Source organism: Homo sapiens, chromosome 1 (genome assembly GCF_000001405.40).
Source record: "Homo sapiens chromosome 1, GRCh38.p14 Primary Assembly".
In the NCBI taxonomy this organism is placed as follows: Eukaryota; Metazoa; Chordata; class Mammalia; order Primates; family Hominidae; genus Homo; species Homo sapiens.
The window spans coordinates 5413774-5433703 of record NC_000001.11 but is presented as its reverse complement, the minus strand read 5'-3'; the positions used below and the strand labels follow the sequence as shown (position 1 = coordinate 5433703).

At 50.2% G+C, this 19930-nt stretch overlaps 1 long non-coding RNA gene across 1 annotated transcript, besides 3 other annotated features; it reads right to left on the bottom strand.

Annotated features, from left to right (window-relative positions):
* Positions 2610–3809: an enhancer, noted in NCBI's record as "CDK7 strongly-dependent group 2 enhancer chr1:5489955-5491154 (GRCh37/hg19 assembly coordinates)". NCBI's record gives its function as "activates an origin of replication core promoter dependent on BRD2, BRD4, P300/CBP, MED14 and CDK7 cofactors, with strong dependence on CDK7, by STARR-seq in HCT116 cells {active_cell/tissue: HCT116}" and the evidence as "EXISTENCE:reporter gene assay evidence [ECO:0000049][PMID:35650434]".
* LOC124904590 (uncharacterized) lies at positions 5325–11062 on the bottom strand. The gene is made up of 2 exons (XR_007067026.1): positions 10895–11062; positions 5325–6569 (listed from the first exon to the last, which is right to left on the bottom strand). It is a non-coding gene; the product is annotated as an uncharacterized LOC124904590 (long non-coding RNA).
* Positions 5838–6337: an enhancer, noted in NCBI's record as "H3K4me1 hESC enhancer chr1:5487427-5487926 (GRCh37/hg19 assembly coordinates)". NCBI's record gives its function as "activates a minimal SCP1, AML or CMV promoter by ChIP-STARR-seq in naive H9 embryonic stem cells {active_cell/tissue: H9 hESC(naive)}" and the evidence as "EXISTENCE:reporter gene assay evidence [ECO:0000049][PMID:30033119]".
* Positions 17721–18015: a silencer, noted in NCBI's record as "tiled region #1516; K562 Repressive non-DNase unmatched - State 13:Ctcf". NCBI's record gives its function as "represses a minimal TATA promoter and a strong SV40 promoter by Sharpr-MPRA in K562 cells {active_cell/tissue: K562}" and the evidence as "EXISTENCE:reporter gene assay evidence [ECO:0000049][PMID:27701403]".

The following is a 19930-nucleotide window of genomic DNA, read 5'->3' as shown; positions in this document are numbered from 1 at the left end:
TCCCCAGCCAGGTACTCTTCTCCATGACTGGACCCAGAAGGATCTCCTCTGAGGTCACTTTTTCCTGCTTTGTAATGAATCTAATTACAGCCATGGGTCATATAAACTGGACCCCCCCTTCCCCACTTATCCTTTTACTTTGGCTGGCCTAGCAGAGAAGACTTAGCCACAGCCAAGGAGATGGGTTCTTTTCCCTGTGGACCCTCTGTTTCCTCCAGAGGGACTCCCAGAGCAAATGCCTGCGTGCAGTGCAGCCTCCGCTGAAGCTCCTGGACATCTCCAGAGAGAACACAGGCTCAGATCCTCTCAACCTGGACTCAGACCTGGGTTCCCTCCCCTTGCTGCACAGAGGATCATACAGTAATACACAGCATGCTCAACTAAATTAGAATTCCAGGGAAATGATGAATGATATTTTGGTATATTTCATGCAATATTGGGGATATACTTATACTAAATGTTATTCATTATTGGTCTGAAATTCAAATGTAACTGGGCTTCCCGTATTTTTATCAGTTAAATCTGCCAACCCTATACCCATGGGGCCTTGGGCGGGTGCAGCTTTAAAAAATATTCTGTGCCTCAGTTTCCTCATCTTTTCAAAGGGGGACAATAACAATAATAGAGCTGACTCCGTGTGGCCCGTGTGAGGAGTGCACAAAGGAAGCACTAGGCAAATGTGAGGTGTGTTCACTCATTCATTCTGTCAATAACCTTGTGTAGTACATTTCCTCTATATGAGGCCCTGAGCCAGGCTGGGGCCTGGGGAGGGGCAATACCAAACATGGCAGATATAGGTTCTACCTCCTGGACTTTCGTTGTTGGTGGGATGAGTCCAAAGAGGGGCTCTGCAGATGGTCGGCTGGGCCATTTGTTCCTCTGCAGTGGTTTTCTGTTTCTTGAAGAGTCTTTACAGGGACGGTCAGCATGAAGTCCATGGGAGATGAACCTGCCTTGATGGTATCAACTCAGCAGGTCTGATGAGCAAGTGCTTTGCAGCCCAGGCTCCCCCTCATCTCTGGGCATTTGGAACATCCCACCTGAGTGTCCTGTGCCCGAGCCCCAGCTGCTGTCCTGAGATGCTGCCTGAGACCGCCATCCACCTCCCGTGAGTGTTGATGGGACTCTTGGCTGACCTGGTAAGCTCTGCTGGCCAGGGAAGGAGGTGGAGTGAGGGATCCTGCAAGGAAGTAGAGTTGCTTGCTTTTCCAGCAATGGTCAGCCTCGACAGACAGCCCTGGGGGACCCTTAATGCCTGTTCTCCTTCCTGTCCCATGAGCACAAGGCACCAGGATTTAGCTCAGTCCCTGGGGTGGGCAGGCTGGCTGGCCCAGGGTGGTACAGAGGAGTGGGTCCAGAGCAAGGAAGGTCTGGCTGTTGGACCCTTGTAGGGTGTGCAGGCCACCAGTCAGCTGCCTGTGGTCAAGCAGGGCAGTGTCTGGGTTTATATCTCCAGGGACAAGTGCGAAAGCAGAGAGCAGAGCCGGAGGGTGAGCGGGGTGAGCGGAGACGCCCCTCCCTGGTAGAAAGACCACACATGCAAAACAGCCATCCAACGTTAAGGGTTTCCTGGATCTCCAGACCCAACTCAGGGATCCTGGAGCCTGCAGCCATCAGTTGAGCTTGGGGGACCAAATTCAGTCATTTCAGCCCAGAGTGCAGGAGCAGGCTGAAAACAGATGGTGTAAAACAAAAATCACAGGAAAGCATGCAAGGTCGGGGTGCAGCTGCATTTTCCCTGTATGTGCCAGGGCCTCTCTGCAGGCCAGGGGGCCAGACCCAGTGACCATGTCCTCTGAGAGCTTTCTGACTGCTCAGGTAGTTGCAGCAGGAGCTTAGGTGGAAGGAACTGTGCACCCTTTTTCGCAGATGCAGATGGGTGCAGGGTCAGGGTTGCAAGGAAATCCATGTTTTCTTGGCAGCTTCTTTTTGTTCCACGTTCAAAATATATTTGTCTCTGGTCCTGGTCCTGCATTAATGGACTCTGACATGTTGCTGTCAGTAGAGTGAAATCCCAAGCAGAGGAATTCCAAGCCACTCGGGAGTCCCTCTCAGACTCTCGGCGGCGATCACGGTATATTAAGGGGAAGTTCATCTCTTTTAGTCTGAGTTTTTATTTGACATGTTGCTATATTAATGTCAAGAAGTCTACTTTAGCAAGTCCCTTTACAACGCAGCCTCAGGAGCTGCATTACTGACAGAGAGATTGGAGTTTCAGGATGTGCCACGGAAAAAATAATCTCTGAGTTTCATTTTGAATAGCGAAAATCTGAATGAAAAACCCCCCGTAATTGTCTGATGGGAAATATATTGTCTCACAATATCAGTTTCATTGATTCCCTTTCATATTTGTATTAAAACTGAAAAGCTAGCAATAACCTCAGCCTGTTATTGGAAATGTGGGTGTGGGAGGGAACAGCAGCCTGGGTAGGGAGGCAGGAATTAATCAGAGAAGAAAAGAGAGAGTCCTTGTGGGCCCCCCCCCGGATCTTTTGTCTTCCTTCACACAGAAACACCAGCGATGGCAGTTTTACAAAAGGGGTGAGCCGTTAAATTATCATGGCATTATCTTTGTGTCTGTCTCTTTGTGTTAGGTAAATAATGCTCAAATGAGAGGACAGTCCATGACCTTGAGTGTGTCAACACAATCTCTGCCAGCTGTCGCCTACTTTCATCTTCATGACACATGCGGGGAGAGGAAAGAAGGAAGTAATGGGCAGAAAATGCCCTAAGACAGGATCATCGGCAGGTGTGGGGGGATGGTGGGGACCTGCACCAGGCACATTAGACCCCTGGTGAGTTTTGCTCGCATGGAATCCAAAACTCTATATTCCAACAAGTGTTTGCTGAGCATCTACTTGCACTCTGACCTCACACTAGGAATCTTGGAAGGTACAAAATGAGGACGCCTCAGCCCCTGCTTCTTCAGAGCTGCAGTACAAGTTCATACCACCTACATTGAGAATCAGGAAGTGCCGTGGCTGGTCTCCAAGAAGGCCCCCAATGAACCAATAACCCGCTTCTCACCTGGCGTTCACTGTGTGTGCAGTCCTCTCTCCTATAGCTCCAGGTTGCTGTGTGAGACCACAGTGCACAGCAGACCCTTCTGAAATGAGGTTGTACAAACTGCCACTTCCGTCTTAGGGGCGACTTGCTTTCTGGTTGTCTCTCCTTCTGGGAGTTCAGCGGCCACAGGAAGAAGTCTAGGCCATGCTGCTGGAGAAGAGAGACCCAGGAGGGTGAGAGGCCACCTGGAGAAGAGAGACCCAGGAGGGTGAGAGGCCACCTGGAGGAGAGACACCCAGGAGGGTGAGAGGTTGCCTGGAGGAGAGAGACCCGGGAGGGTGAGAGGCTGCCTGGAGGGGAACGGAAGCCAAACTCCACCTGCCAGCCCTCTGAGTCAGCCTTCTTGCCAGCAGGTAAATTTGGGGGGATGTGTTATGCAGAACAGGGAGCGGATATAGTCAGCACTGAGAGTGGAGAGCCAAGTGGGTGTCAGATGCTTTGGAGGGGAGTGTGGTAAAAGCTTTGAAGGGGAGGGGGCCTCAGGGAGATGAAGTAGGAGGTGAGATGGATGAGGAGACCATGGTATGCAGGTTGTATACATGGAGGGACTGGCCCCTTGAACAGAGATAGGAAGCTCCAGAGAAGACATGGGTTTCAGGGAAATGAAGCTGAAAATCTGCAGATTCTAAAACACAAAATTGCTAGCTGCAGTGAGGGGGATTACGGTACCTGCACTTCTCTTTTCTCTGTTCCCAACTCTGCGTCTCCAGGAGAAGATGCCAGAGCTGGGAAGGCCTGGCTGTACACTTGCTGTGATCTTCACCCAGGGTTTAGCCCCTGGCTCACTTGAGTTTGGCTTTTCCACCTCTCTCCAACCGCTCCTGGGAAGCCGCCTTGGCCAGAATCACCGCTGTCCCCAGGTGACCGCCTCCACCCTGTGCTCTGGGATGCACCTCCTGGCTCGGCCTCAGCAGACCCCCTGCCCCTTTTGTTTTTCCTCCTCCTATCCCGGGACTGGTCTCTTTTCTCCCCATATTCAGATAATTTCAGGCACCGTCAGGTCAAGGTGACTAAAGCTGGATGATTCCGTGGGATTATTTCAGAGGATATTAAACCTTGGGTGGGTGGTTGGATTCTAGTAGTTTCAGTTATCTCCCAATCAGGAAGTGACTGGCTGCCAGCTCTCGCCTTTACATTCTTCATAACCACTCATGATAATGCAATCCCGCACCTGTCCTTTCTGCACCTTGTGACAGGTGCCCAGGTAATGGTGGCCTGCCTTAGCTTTGCTGAGGTAAAGGGCTGCCCGACGTACCCCCACAGCAGGGGCCTTGGTTCCACCCGGTCTGATCTCATCTGCTCGTCCAACTTGCATGTGGTTCCCAGTAACCCCTGCTCAGCCCCTCCCTGCTCCGTTGCTTCCCCCGCTCAGGAGCTTCTGATCCTCTTCAGTTCCAGATCAGTTTTTCCTTCCCCAAATGGATGGTTCCTTGCAATATACTGACTGTAGCTGTTTCATCAGATACAAAGGTCCTCCCATTTTTCAAGGAAGGTTCTGCATTTGGGGCTGAAGTTATGGATATGTCAACTAGTCTCGATGCCAATGTCCTCACCTTTTTTCGGGGGTCTTATTGCTTCTGGCGATGTCCCTATCTTATGCCCTGATTCTGTTTTAGGCCAGCTTCAAGCAGGGTAATTCTGTTACCTGTTTCCTTCCCTCCCTCCCTGTTCTCATCTTTTCTTCTCTCTCTCTTCCTCCTCTGTGTTAATGAGAGCTTCTCTCTCTCTCTCTCTCTCTTCCTCCCCCCCTCTCCCTCCCTTCCTCTGTCTCCCTCCCTCCCTTCCTCTCTGTCTCTCTTTTCCTCTCTCTCCCTCTTGCTCTTTCCCTCCCTCCATTTCTGTTTCTCTCTCTCCCTGCCTCTCTCTCTTCTTGTTTCTCCTCTTTCTTCCCCACCCTTTCCCTCTCTCCCTTTCTCTCTCGCCCATCTGTGTTAATGAGAGCTGGAAGCAGACATATGGAAGCATGACACTATGAGTGTCCACCCTCAGGCGCAGAACAGGAGGCTGTCTCCCATCTCTACCCAGCCCCAGGAGGGCAGGTTTCCCCACACTGTAGAAAATTGCAAAACAAGCCCGAAGTGTCTGAGGGCTTGCACGGCATTCCGTCATGATATGCTGAAAACCTGGTTACTTATAAAGCAATTTGCTCCTGCAGGCTGGTTTGAGATTAAAATGGTAATTATCTTGCAAATGACTGTAACTGTCTTTCATAAATGTGGCAATGTTTGAGATGTGACTAACTGCGGTCTGCAGGATAATGGGCTTAATAAACGATATATTTAGTGTATTGTCAGGGAACAGAGCCTTAGTAGTTGGAGACGGGACAATACTATAATTTCAGCGAGCTAGAGTCCATTCTTCTCCCCAGCCATGGTCCCCCACCCCCCTTCAATAGCATGTGCTCATCATTTTTTTCTTAATAGGACATTTTTCCTTAGGATAATTTGCAAATTGCTAATCTGTTATCATCTCTCATTTCTTTCCTCCTTAAAGTTTTAGTTTCCTTGGTTGCCTTGCACAAATGCAAGGGAATAACCTTACTTGCTGCAGATGGGCAGGGGGCTGTGGTAACAACACAGCAGAGACACATCCTGAGCAGGCACAGTGGGGACAGGAGCCATAGTCAGGGTATCAGGTAGGAGAAACCGAAGACTCTCCTTTCTCTTTCCTCGCAGGAAAATAAACGTTTTAATCAACTGTTCTGCTTCTTGCTGGAGCCAAAGATTCCTTCCACAGAAAACGCTCGGGAGGTCCAGGTGACTCAAGGCTCTGGTGATCTGGTCCTCGGCTTGGAGAGGAATCTGGGAAAGGCTCAGGGTTCCAGGCCCCTGCACAAGGCAGTTGGAACCTCAGAACACAGCAGGACCCAGGGACTGGAGCCTGCAGGTCGGGACTAGGAAAGGTTGGTGGGTTATCGGAATCAGAGATTGGGGCTGTCTTTTCTAAGCTTGGCCTTAGTTCAGCCAGCACCTCCAGAAGCTGTTGAGACACAGAAGGGCCTAAAAAACCTTGACATGTGGCCATCATTCCAATGACCTCAATGTGTAGATGGCAGGTCAGTGGTTTTTACTCAGCTGTGTCTCCCTCAGTCCTCATCTGTTAAAGGGGACAAGGATGCCTGGGCCCAGCAGGCTGGGCAGCTGATCCAGCGAGGACCAGCTCACCAGCACCAAGTGGGGGTCTGGTGCCTCTGCCTGCCCTCTCTTGGCCATGTGTTCACACTGCACAAGCCTGAGATCCCAGAGAGACAGTCTGAGCTGGGGCCAATGGGTGCATGTCTTGTGACCAGATGCGGCCATTGAGATGTTCCCTGAATTTAGTGTGTGGCCGTGGAAGGGAGTGCAAGGGACATTCGGAGTACACCAGAACCAGGATGGGGGAGGGGAACAGAGAAACCACCAGTAAACCCAGTGGGCGGGCAGCGGTCCAAGTTCTGCTCAGGTTCCTCAAAAGTCGAACATGGAGTGACCACACAATCCAACAATTCTGCTTCTGGGACGCACCTGGAAGAATGGACAGCAGAGACTCAGATACGTGTCTGCCCACATTCACAGCAGCATCACTCAGAATAGCCAAAAGGTGGAAGCAACCCAAGTGTCCATAAATGGCTGGATGGAGAAGCAAAGTACAGTCTATCCACACTGTATAATAGAGTGTTATTCAGCCACAGAATGAATGAAGTGCTATACCTGCTCTAACACGGGCGAACCTTGAAAACATGCTGCCAGCTGACAACAGTCAAATGGAAACGTTCCCGTATTGCATGATTTCACTTACATGGCACATCAGAATACGTAAATCCGCAGAGACAGAAGCAAGTTGGTGGTCATGGGCGCTGGGAGCTGGGAGTGATTTTGCTTAATGGGTGCACAGTTTCCTTTTGGGATGACATTAATGTCTTAGAACAAGACAGAGTTGGCCGGGTGGGGTGGCTCACACCTGTAATCCCAGCACTTTGGGAGGCCGAGGCAGGTGGATCACCTGGGGTCGGGAGTTCGAGACCAGTCTGACCAACATAGTGAGATCCTGTCTCTACTTAAAATACAAAAATTAGTTGAGCGTGTTGGCACATGACTGTAATCCCAGCTATTGGCACATGACTGTAATCCCGGCTACTCAGCAGGCTGAGGCAGGAGAATCACTTGAATCCAGGAGGCAGAGTTCGCAGTGAGCCAAGATCACATGATAGCACTCCGGCCTGGGCAACACAGCGACACTCCGTCTCAAAAAAAAAAAAAAAAAAAAAAAAAGAAGAAAAGAAAAAAAGAACAAGACAGAGTTGATGGTTACATAACACAAAGAATGCACTAAATGCCACCAAACTGTATGTTTTAAAATGGTTCATTGTACATAAGTTCCTTATGGATTCTGGATACTAGACTTTCACCCAAAAGCGGGGAGGGAAGGAAGGGGAAAGTGCTGAAAAACTAGCTCACTGCCTGGGTGATGGGATCCATGGTACCCCAAACCTCAGCATCACACAATATACCCATGTAACAAACCTGCATATGTACCCCCAAATCTAAAATAAAAGCTGAACTTATAACATATGTAGGTTCATTGTTAATTTTGTGTTATGTGAAGTTTACCTCAATTTAAAAACATGGAGTATAATAGGAACTGGTGCAGTTCAGTGTGAAAGCCATATCTCTATTTCTGGGCTGGGTTGGCTCTGGGACTGGCTCCCACAAAAACAAAAAAATCTATCAGGGTTGTCAATGAAAACACTGCCCAGACTCTAATTCTGAAGCCTCATGTTGCAAAGGACACTGTCATTTCCTACCCTGTGTCATTTGTGTTGATTGGGAGGAGAGGGCAGAGCGCTGGGGAAGGTGGGGTGCACCTGTGGAGAAGGGGAAGACACTCTTCAGGTGGACAAAGTTTAGTCCTAAATAAATGTCCAGTCTGATTTTTTTTTTATCCCAACACATCGGATGTGGTACACAGAGTAGCTGCCTCATTCAAAGCACACAACTCTGTTCATTTTGCAAAGCAGAAGCCTGTTTTGGTTCAGATGCAGAGGATCTAACCTGAGGGTAGCCTGGGCAAGGCAGAGCAGGATTTGGGATTCCCTTGCAGTCCCACCGGCACCCAGTGTCTTCCCTCAATAACCTTCTCCAGCACGGGGATTTGTACTTGGTTTATCTCGTGTTAAATTCCAGTGCGGGGAACTTCTTCCTTTGGTGGAAGCTATTCAGTCTGTCAATGCTTTGATGTCTTTTGAATCCTTTGTGGCCCCGAATCAAATAGAAGCTTTTCACATCTACGCTTGAAATATCCTTGTTCCCATTTCCTTTCACTTAAAGGATTTCTCCCCCGTGTGATTATCACAAATCACTTCTGAATGGTGCTTTACCATTCAGCGTTCAGGCATTCATTAAAAAGGCAGACACATACATACCCGTTTACATTCAGCCGTTTTTAAACACTAGATGTATGTCCGTGGATATGTATATACACATATACAGTATTCACTGGCACACGCCTTGTCTCCCACTTCCATTAATGAAATTATCCTTGAAGAATTATCGTCACCAAACAGTTACCTTTCCAACACCCTGTGACTCATTGCGATTTCTGCCATTTTCCATCACAATGCCTACGGGCAATTACTCAGGCTCAGTAATTCAATGCCCAGCTTCCTGCCTACGGAGAGTGTTAGAATAAGATGCATTTTTTTTTAGCTGGAAGAATGTTAATGGATGTCAATAGGTTGCGGGAGAGAGAGCCAGTGCCTGCGAGAAGCAGCCGTGTGGATCTCTATCTGTCCCTGCAGCACTTGTAATAAAAGCTTTCTCAACTTTTCTGTTGCTTGAACAGCAATTACTAAAACATTCTACTTGGGAAGACGCATTAATTAGATGCTTTCTAGAGATTTCAGGTTTATCAGCCCAAATGTCTGTAGAAGCTCCTCAGAGGGAATGTGTAAAATGCTTACGGAGTATGGATCTCTGCTGTAGCCCCAATGCCAGCCTTCTCTGCTTCTATAGCTAGGCTGGGCCTTAGCCCTGATCCTCGGGTGGGAAGCCAATGGGCTACTCTTCCCTCAGGAGGGGCTGTGCCAGCCCCAGACACTTACACCAAAACCCACGGCCAGGGTGAGGACTGCTGTTGATTCTCTAAACATGCCCAAAACCTCTCTCTGTGAAGGTGGGATAGAGGCTACGAGGAGAATGACATGTTACCAGTTGGTAGAGGTGATAACCCAACAATTAATTGGGATTCTAGCCTTTTTCTCTCCCAGCTATCCTTGGCGTACAACCTGGGGCCAATCTCCTAACTTCTGTGTGCCAACTTCCTCACTTGTAAAATGGGGGTGATAATCGTACCCCTCACTTCATAAGGTGGTTTTGAAGATTAACAGAGATCATGCAGTTAAAGTACTTATAAATACAATGCCTCACACACAGCAAGGGCTCCAGAAAGCCAGCTGTTATTGATATTATCCTCAGTTCTATTAGAATGTCACCTATGGGAGAACAGGAAGCGTGTCTGTCCCATCCATTGCTGCATCCCCGGGCTTTGAGTGAAGTCCGGTGTTAATTAGGCACTCTGGCAATTTTTGTTGATGGATTAAGTATCATGGTTATCACCATTGTGGCTGTCATTGTCCTGTGGCTCCTGGTCTCATGGTGGAATTAGGAGAGGGCCGTAGGACATACCCAGGTGAGGGCCAGGAGTGCCGGGGAGTGAGGTCTTCCTGCCAAGCATCCGGGAGAGGCTCACAAGGGCTTCCGGGGTGAGGAGGACATGGGTGCTGTACTGGGTCATGTTCCCAGAGCTTATTACACCCTCGGCACTGCTTCTCATGTTAAAGGCAGTTGTGGCTCTTGACCTCCATCCCTGCTCATGTAGGAAACTGGTTTCCCATAACATTGGAAGGAATGAGAGCCAGGGCCTCTGACCTTGCTGCCGACACCTGGACATCCTGCCCAGATCCCACCTCTGAACAGGACTTGGAAAGAGACTTGCAGACCCCAGACCTGGCTGCCCCCAGCCCACTCCCACCCCACCTGGGGAAAGCCTTCCTCACACGTCCACACCTCATGGCACTAAATGTTGCCCTTCCTTTTCACTTCACCTTCTCCAGTTGCCAGGCCCCACTTTTAGAGATGTGATCACATTTCTGGAATGGGGTTATGGCTTGGAGAGATGCCCCACTCAAGCCAGACAGTCACTTCCAGCCAGAATGAAAGCAGCATCTGCTGGAGGGCAGCCTCCACAGGCACAGCAGGGACGATTGTCGGCAATGTGCTGCCGTTAGCAGTTTGCACAGGAAGTGGGCGAGGTTACAGGAGTCAGCAGCTTCTGTCCGTGGTCTGGGAGGCAGCCCGGTCTCTCTCCATGCCAGAGATAATGTAGATGGATGAAAACGGGCTGAGGACCTGGCATAGCGCCAAGGCTGGCCCTCTGGGTGAGCCCCGCCTCCCTCTCAGAGACCCAGCCCTGTTTTCCTTTCTGCTCACCCCTACTCTGGAACCTAGGGCTGGGATTGCCTTGAGGCTATCACTCTCGATTCTCTGCATTTCTGGAGTGGCAGGTGGGAGACAGCCTGGCAACAGGATCCAGTTTGTGGAGAGGGTAAGAGGGTAGGGCAGGTGGCGGGGCAGCACCGGTGTGCTGCCTCACAGGAGTCCTGACCTCTCTCCATAAGGCCTGGGCTGTGACGGGGAGTCCTGACCTTGGACCCAGAGTGGAGCTGCCCAGAGCTGATGTGCTCCCAGATGTCGGGAATAACAGGGTTCTGTGAGTTTGCAAGGGCTGCCTTACAAAGTAACACAAACAGCGGGGGTGCGGGGAGGTGGTTAATTAACAGTTTATTGCTCACAGTTCTGGAGGCTAGAAGTCCAAGATCAAGGTGTGGGCAGGGGTCGTTTCCTTCTGAGGCTGTGAGGCAGGCTCTGTTCCAAGCCTCTCTCCAGCTCGGGGGGTCGCTGGCAGTCCTTGGTGTTCCTCGGTTGTGGACACATTGCTCGAATCTCGCCTCGATGTTCACATGGTGTTCTCCAGGTTTGCGTGTCTGTGTCTGAATTTCCCCTTTTTATAAAGGTGCTGGTCATATTGGATCAGGGCTCACCCTACTCCAAAACAACTTTGTTTTAACTAATTACGTTGCAATGACTCTATTTCCAAATAAAGTCACGTTTTGAAGTGCTGGGAATTAGGACCTTGACATATGATATTTTTTTTCCCCAAGGGGACACAATTCAATCCACACCAGTGGCTACGTCATTCTGTTAACCTTGAGCACACCAGACTCACCCCAGGAAGCAGAACCCCAAATATTTCACCTCTTATGTTTTGAATCAGACGGCATATCTTGTGCTGGCTGCTGCCTAGGGGGCAAACACATCTCCATCCTTTCTGTGTAAGGATGTTTTCTGAGCTGGGGATGGTTGAGAGCTAGAGAGTCCAAAAGAAACAGAACAAGCAAGACCTGAGCTCTCCTGCAGCTTACGGTCATGAAGGGAAGACAGACACACAACCCAAAGGGAAGTTAGAAAAGCAGAGGAATTACCCATTTTGTGAACGAAGGAAACACAGAGGTGGCAAAAGAGGAAATTGCTGGGGGTGGAGGCTGCTTGAGACAGGGTTGGAGGGGAAGGCCATGAGAGAAGGCACCTTACTGCAGAGACTTGGCAGACAGTGCCAAGGACAGCAATGAAGTGACCGGTAGAAGACGGTCCAGGCTGAAGGAGGAGCATCTGTGGGAGACAGTGCCAATGAATCCATGGGTCTGAGGAACTGGGGACATGCCAGAGCGTCTAGACCCCAGGAAAAGTGGCAGGAGACAAGGTGGGTGAGCTGGGCAGGAGCCAGTTCACACAGAGCCTTGGAGTCTGGAGTTTTGGTTTAATTCTCAGAGCAAAGTGCAGCCTTTGAAGACTGGTGAATACTGAGACTATTCAGCCCTCATAGACTTTTCTGCCCACTGGTCAGATTGGGCCATACGGTAGACACCTTGTGGGAAGGACACCGTGAAACCTGCACTGTAGACCTGCCCAGCCCTGGTCAGCCTTTTTCCTCTCCTGCAACTTCACCTTCTCTCCCTTCTTTGCAATGAACTTAAACAGTTGAATGAAGAGCCCCAAAAATGCTCTTCTGTGGGCTGCTGCATTCATCTACGGAGCAGCGATTCACAGTGAGTTTTCTGTGTTTGCAGAGACCCTGAACATCCCAAGCCGAAAGGACTGCCGGTCCCAGGCAATAGCATCCAAGAAACCTGCAGCTGCTTCTCCCACGCTGCCTGTCATGCAAGGATGTCTTTTCTCTGACCTCAGATGGGCTTTCTATGGATGTGGGAAATAGGGAAGGGAGAGAGGGCGCTATTCACACTTTTGGGTTCCTGGACCTGTCCCTTTTTGTGCTCCTGGGATCTGCCTCTAAGGACCCACCTGCTAGGCACACCTACACCAGGAACAAGAATGCTGGCTCCCTGAGGACCAGAGAAAACAGGGGTTCCTCTGGGAATCCTCCATGATAAGGAGGCATGCATTCCAGTGATGGAAGCTCACCAAGGAGACCGGGACTCCCCCAGAGAAATACTCCTGATGGTATTGTGGGAGAGAGAAATTCAGCGAACATTAGGAAACAACAAGTCCAACAGTAGAGAATGGGCCACATGAAGGAGGGGCATTGGTCAACTGGGCTCTGCTGCCATCCTGTCCACATGCTCCTCTGCACCCTCGCGGGGATAGCCTGGAGCTGCGTTTCCTGGCACCCCCTCCTCCATGGTCCTGGATTACCATCTGCCCAGGAGAGGCACCCACATGAGATGCAGGAGGCTCCGCCCTCAGCAGTAGCTGCTGGCAGACAGTGAATGTGAGGTCTGCAGGGGCTTCCCAGAGGGCCCCCACAAACCATCCACTTCCCTGCTGCAGGAAGCCAAGAGGGGTGGTGGTCTCCCTGACCTTCCACCTGCAGCCCCTTCAACAGTTATTTTAGCCCCAAATTTCCTGTATGAAAACCCTCCTGCTGGAATACCTGGAGTGGCTTCTCTGTTTTCTTGACTGAAACTGGACAGATGTAGCTAAGTCATAGAATCCCACTCCATGGAATATTATGAAATCCCTCAAAATAAGTGGCCAAGGATGATAGAACCGAATGTAACACGCCCACAGCACAATATTAAGTGTAATATGCTTTAAAATCCTACCAGCATTATGATTTCCAGTACATTAAAACAAAGCCACCCATACCAAAAAGACAAAAGGTAAAGAAGTAAGTGTATCAACATTTTCCTGGTGGGATTAGAGTTAATATATATATTTCTTATTTTGTAACCTACTTTTCTGCATGTGAAAAACTTTAGTCAATACACAATTATTGCTCAAGCAAGGAAAAAAAATCAGCTTTATTAAGCACAGGAAGAACTTGGGTGCAGTCTTCCACCGACTGTCTTACTTTAGCCATTTGCTTCTCATTCCCAACACAGCCAGAATGTTCTGCATGAAGTTACGTGGGTACAAAGAGGGTGGGGACAAGGTGTCGGGAGCCTGCCCCAAGGAGGGAGGAAATTGAGGTGCTCTGGCCAAGAACACAACCCCAAGGCTGGGAGGTTCTCGATGAGGATACGCCTTTCAGATTTTCCACATGGTGCTTGATATTTTGGGGGAATGTGTGAGAGGAAAGTGTGACCAAATGACAAACAAAAAGGACAAGGCACCAGAAAGGTGAGATGATGGGACCCTGAGGAAGGGAAGAAGGGGAAGGGTCAGGTGGATTCTTCCTGGGCCTGGATCAGGCCATGAACTTGAATCAGGGAATCAAAGGCTGGATTTCAGCAGTGTCATCTGGAGCTTGTGGTCACTGAGCACGAGTCTGCAGAGGCCTCCAGGGAGTGCATATGCCTAGCCAGCCCTGGGTGTGCCTTGGACCAGCCTGGCACCAGGTAAATGAGGGTGGGCAGGATCCCTACCGAGGCAGGCCCTGGGCGATGAACCCCAGTGGGCTTCTTGGTCAGGCAGGTGAGTCCTCACTGGGCAGCACCCAGTCAATGGGCTGCACAGGGTCCGGTTGTAACTCCATGAAAATCAAGATCTGTGGTTTGCACTGGGAAGGTCCCAGGCCATATTTCCACTCTGTATTGTAAGCAAGATTTGCAGGTAACTCTGTGGCAGAGACCACAAAAATGCATGTCCTCTCTCTCCCTTCCCCAGTGCTGAATTGGCCCTGGGAAGTAGCCATCTCATCTGAAGACACCTTCCTTGGGCCTCCTTGGGTCCCTTGTGCCTGGGAAACTAATTCTTTTCAGTTGACCCTGAGTAGGATGTTTCTCCCTTCCAGGTCAAGGCTATTCAAAACAGCTTTGGGTGTTTCCACTCTCCTTGTTCTCCCCTAAGCTGGAGGCAGGAGTTCCAAGGTCCTGAGAATGGTGAATCTACAGAGGAAGGCAGCCTGGGTCTGCCTGTCACCGCGCAGGGAAAGCTGGCCACTCGTATGGATACAACATTGAACTCACATGCTTGAGAAGTAAACAGTCACATGAAACACATCTCAGCTCGGAGTTTCAGGCAGTTAGTGCCTTGTGACCAACAAGGGCAGGTTCCCCAATCTTTTGCTGATAAAATGGACAAGAATTCTAGGATTTGGGATCACACGGTCATCTCTGCATGGCGCACTTTCTTTTTTTTATATTGCATGGGGCAAAGAGCGGGTGTTGTGTCAAACCCTTCCCCAAAAAGAATCTTCAAAAGTGCAGACTCTTCAGATTCAGAAGTCAACTTCGGAGAATGTGGCATGAAGGCAAACAGAACAGACATGGATCCAACTGTTCCCCTCTTTGGACCACACATAGCTCCTTGGAAGAAGCACGTGCAACACACATGCAGGTAAAGCACGGAAAAAGGGAACATTCAGAAGAAGCTGAAGCACCCGCAGGGGGGTCCTTCTTGCTGGAGAGAGTCATTGTGCATCCATAAATAGTAAGACAAGTAAGGACAAGAATGAAAGAGAACCTGTTATTCTCCCTAGGAAACGGTCACCGTGGAGGCAGCTGAGTGACAGTGTGGGGTGGACCAGGCCAGTGGAGAGGGCAGCTGAGTGCATGAAGGCTGGCACAGAGTGGCCTGTGTCAGGTGTCCCCCGAACTCTGAGCTGGACAGATGACATGGGCCAAGCAGAGGGGGCTGATTGGAGGACATAGGAGCTGAGGGTCTCCTCAGCACTTTTCAGGCTGGCTTGCCAGAGGAGATGGGAGAAGGAGGCGATTGGAGGTGGGGGGGTTGTGGTAGGCAGCTCCACATACTGAGAAGGAAGAGTTACTTCTGAACCCCATGGAACTGCCCTGTGACCAAGGAGCCCAGGAAGTGTTTTATTGAGAACCTTTGATGTTGACGTGGTGTTTATTTCGGGCTCTGTGCCACATGCCAGGATTCTCCGTCTCTCCTCCCAGCCAATCCCGTTCACCTCTGAGAACCCTTCTCTGCACAGATCCACAGCACTCAATCCGGTGCACTGGTGGTGAGTTTAGTCACAGAAGGAAACAGATGGTCCAGGGAGCAATTGTCTTCACACCAGGGTCTTTAAAGGACCTGTCGTTGGCTCCTGGATCTCCCTGCCACTGGGGAAGATGGTGGCGGTGTCAGAGCACAAAGGCCCATCAGGGTAATACATTGACAAATAAAGATGCGATGACCAGGGGAAGGACATGGACCAAGGGGTGTTGTTGTCATTTCAAACCCAGATTTAGGTGCAAACTTGAGACATCCTGTGCATCATTTCACTGGGCCACGGGCCCCTCAGGTAGAAAATGAATGGGTGGGATAAGGCTCTTTCAGTCTTGAAGAGGAGGACTTAGGAAGTGGGATGGGGTAGGGGAGAGGGGCATGGGCTTTGGGGTTAGTGGTTCAAGTTTGTGCTCAGCCATTTACAGCCCTGGTGAATTGAGGAAAAGCCAAGGGGGCCAAGCCAAGAATCATGAGCTAATAAACATGGATGTTTAAGACTCTAAATTTTGGGGTGGTTTGACTTCAGTGACCTCTTGGAGCCTCAGTTTTCTTTCTGATAAAATAAGTAATAAATAATATCTTTTTTTTTTTGGAGACAGAGTCTCGTTCTGCCACCCAGTCTGGAATGCAGTGGTGCAATTTTGGCTCACTGCAACCTCCGCCTCCCGGGTTCAAGTGATCCTCCTGCCTCAGCCTCCGAAATAGCTGGGACTACAGGTGCATGCCAACACGCCTGGCTAATTTTTGTATTTTAGTAGAGATGGGGTTTCGCCATGTTGGTCAGGCTGGTCTTGAACTCCTGACTTCAGGTGATCTGCCTGCCTCAGCCTCCCAAAGTGCTGAGATTACAGGCATGAGCCACATGCCTGGCCAGTAATAAATAATATCTGCAGGTGGAATGAGGACTTAGTATGACCTCTTAGCATGACCCTAGGAGGATCTTCGCATGATCGCAGGAGATGCTTCACCGTAGAGGCTGCTGCTGTTACTTGCAGAAAGCAAGGCCAAAACCACCATTGTCAATGATTTCCTAAGTACCCTGTGTTTGTTGAGTGAGCTTGATGGTGGACCATGGAAAAAGGAACCAAAGCCTGAGGCGGGGTGAGGAGGCAGGTGTGGGACTCCAGACAAAGTTTCTATTCCCTACTCCTGGGTATTTCCTGAGGCAGAAATGCAAGGATGAGTGAGCAGCAGAGCAGCAGCCCCCATCAGACCTTGGCACCATCAGGTTAGCCAGGCCAACCGGCAGCCCCCAAGACTCTGTCTGTGCTGGAGTCTGCTATTAGGTTGGTGCAAAAGTAATTGCTGTTTTTGCCATTGAAAATAATGGCAATAACTGCAATTACTTTTGCACCAACCTAGAACAGAAGTGCAGCTGTCTCCTTGACACCAGCTACTGAAGGTAAGGGTGCTTCCTGACAAACATCCTGGCTTCTCTGTAGCCGGTTAGTGACCTGTAGTCCAGCATGTACCCACAGCCATCATACAGCATCCTGTACCAGTGTATAATCTGGCAGAGGTAAGAGGGCAGACTCAGGCTCACCACACGCTGTTGCTAATGTGCAGGTTGCCAGAAATGTATTTTTTTCTTGAGACAGGGTCTCACTCTGTCATCCAGGCTGGAGTGTACTGGTGTGATCATGTCTTACTGCAACCTCAATCTCATGGGCTCAGGTGATCCTCCTGCCACAGTCTCCAAGTAGCTGGGACCACAGGCCTGTGCCACCATGCCTGGCCAATTTTAAAATCATTTATAGAGATGGGGACTCCCTACGTTATTCAGGCTGGTCTCAAACTCCTGAGCTTGAGTGATCCAACCACCTTAGCCTCCCAAAGTGTTGGGATTACAGGCATCAGCCACAGTGCCTGGCTAGAAATGCGTTTCTGAAAGCTGGGTGCAGTGGTGCATGCTTATAATCGCAGCTACTTGGGAGGATGGGCAGGAGGATTGCTTGAGCCTGGGAGTTTGAGAACAGCCTGGACAGCATAGAAAGACCTTGTCTCAAAAAGAAAAGGAAAGAAGGAAGGAAGGAAGAAAGAAAGAAAGAAGGAGGAAGAAAGAAAGAAGGAAAAAGAAAGAAAAAGAAGGGAAGAAAGAAAGAAAGAAAAAGAAAGAAAGAAAGGAAAGGAAGGAAGGAAGGAAGAAAGGAAGGAAGGCATTTTTGAGCTGCGAAGCTGTCCCAGAGCTTTTGCCAGGCCTTGGTATCCAGAACCTTCTCCATCTCTCCTTCCTGTGTAGTTCTGCCCAGATCTGTCTTTGGAGCTGGGATCATCCGCAGAGCAACCGCACTGGCTTTGAAGGAAGCGGGAGTGTGGGGATGATGTTTGGAGCCAGGCTGGCCTGCAGAGGGAGATTTGTCAGGGCAGCTTGAGGTACTCCCTTCATGCTGGAGGTGAGCTCATTGTGTGAGCCAGAAACAGGAGGAGGAGAACAAAAGGTGGGCCTGAAACTTCCCCCAGGGAACTGGTCACCATGGAGAGGGACTCTGGCCCAAAGAAGACAGAGGAGGGCGAGTCAGTGGCACAAACAGAGTCGGCAGAGCCAAGATCACGCCGGGCCTTTGTCTGATGCCATGGATGGACCAGGCATTTGAGCCCATTCAGAACCCCTTTTCTTTCCTGGCTGGTTTGGAATCTGGTTGGTGAATTTGAGGCTGCTTGGCGATTGTGTGCTGGGCTCCTGGCTGGGGGGCACGCTCTCCACCACACACAGTGCACACGAGTGTGTGTCAGCATACACAGCAGATGTGTCCTTGCAAACTCCACGCATGCACATGCCCCTGTTTTAAGTGCTCCGTGTGTAGGAAGATGCTGTTAGCCCCCTGCTGCTGTGCCCTGTGGGTTCATCCCTTCCTGTCCTCACAGCAGCCCAGGCTGTGGGGCTGAGCATTAACTTCATTTTATAGAGGAGGAAACCGAGTTTGAGAGAGGTCCTGTGACTTGCCCTGGGCTGTGTGACTTGCTCAAGGTCACAGGGCTGGTAAACAGTCGTGCCGGGACTTGGAATCAGGGAGGTTTGATCCTAAAGCTCCGTACTCTCAGCTACTGTGCGACTCCACCTCCCAGGCCAAGCCTCCATCATAGACTGAATTCTTTCTGCCGTGGAGATGTATTTTCAAATTTAGCTGTGCTCAAAGAGAGGTCTACTTCTACTGGTCACGGTGCCGATTGCAACTGTGAGGCCTGTGGTCTGATTCCTCTCACTGCTGGATGTTGTTGAGTGCTCGATGGAGAAAACAAGACCTGCCTTGGAGTCAGACGCAGCCCAGTGCAGGTGCTGTCTGTCTGTCTATACTATAGTGTTCACCCCAGGGTCTGTGGAGCCACGGCTGGGAGCCATTGCCCTGGGGGATGGCTGGCCTCTCATTGACCCAAGCCCAGTTTTCTCTTGCTTGAGCTGCGGCAGGAGCATGCTCAATGCTGTCCCCAGGCTTCCCAAGGGCCGCTCCATGGCCCTGCCTGAGAACATCTCCCTGGGGAATCTTCTCAAACTACAGATTCTGGGGTCTGCACTCCTACAGATCTGATTCTGTAAGTTTAGGGAAGTTTCTGGGAAACTATTTTACAAAGCCCTCCAACGAGCTCAGATATAGAGCCAGATTTGGGAACTAGTTCCAATCCTTATGCTTCTCTCCCATGAGGGAAGAAGCTGGATGTAAACACTGGGCCTGAGGACACCATGATCTCCAGCTTAGCTCTTCAAGCATCATGCATGCATTCATTCATTCATGCACCGTGCCTTCAGTGTGCGTCTGCCAAAGGGACGCATGGTTTCGGCACTGATGATACGAGGAGGAGTCCAACAGTTTCTTTTGTCAGGGAGCTCATGGCCCAGTGAGAACACAGACACACAAATCTGTAGATATGCAGCAGTGTCACAAGTACCCCACAGGCTGGGGGTAACACTCAGCATTGTGAATGGCCAGGATAATGGGGGTACAACTCAGCATCATAGATGCCCCGGGATGCTGGGGACATCAATCAGCATCATAGATGCCCGGGATGCTGGGGACATCAATCAGCATCATAGATGCCCGGGATGCTGGGGACATCAATCAGCATCATAGATGCCCAGGATGCTCAGGGAGGTACCACTCATCATCACAGATGCCCAGGATGCTGGAGGGGGTATAACTCAGCATTATGAATGTTCAGGATGCTGAAGGTGGCACCACTCAGCATCATAGATGCCCAGGATAGTGGGGGTGCTACTCAGCATCATAAATGTTCAGGATGCTGGAGGGGGTACCACTTAGCATCAGATGCCCAGGATTGTGGGGTTGCCACTCAACATCATAGATGCCCAGGATGCTGGATGGGCTACAATTCAGCACTACAAATGTTCAGGATGCCCATGATAATGGGGGTGCCACTCAGCATGATAAATGTTCAGGATGCTGGAGGGGGTACCACTC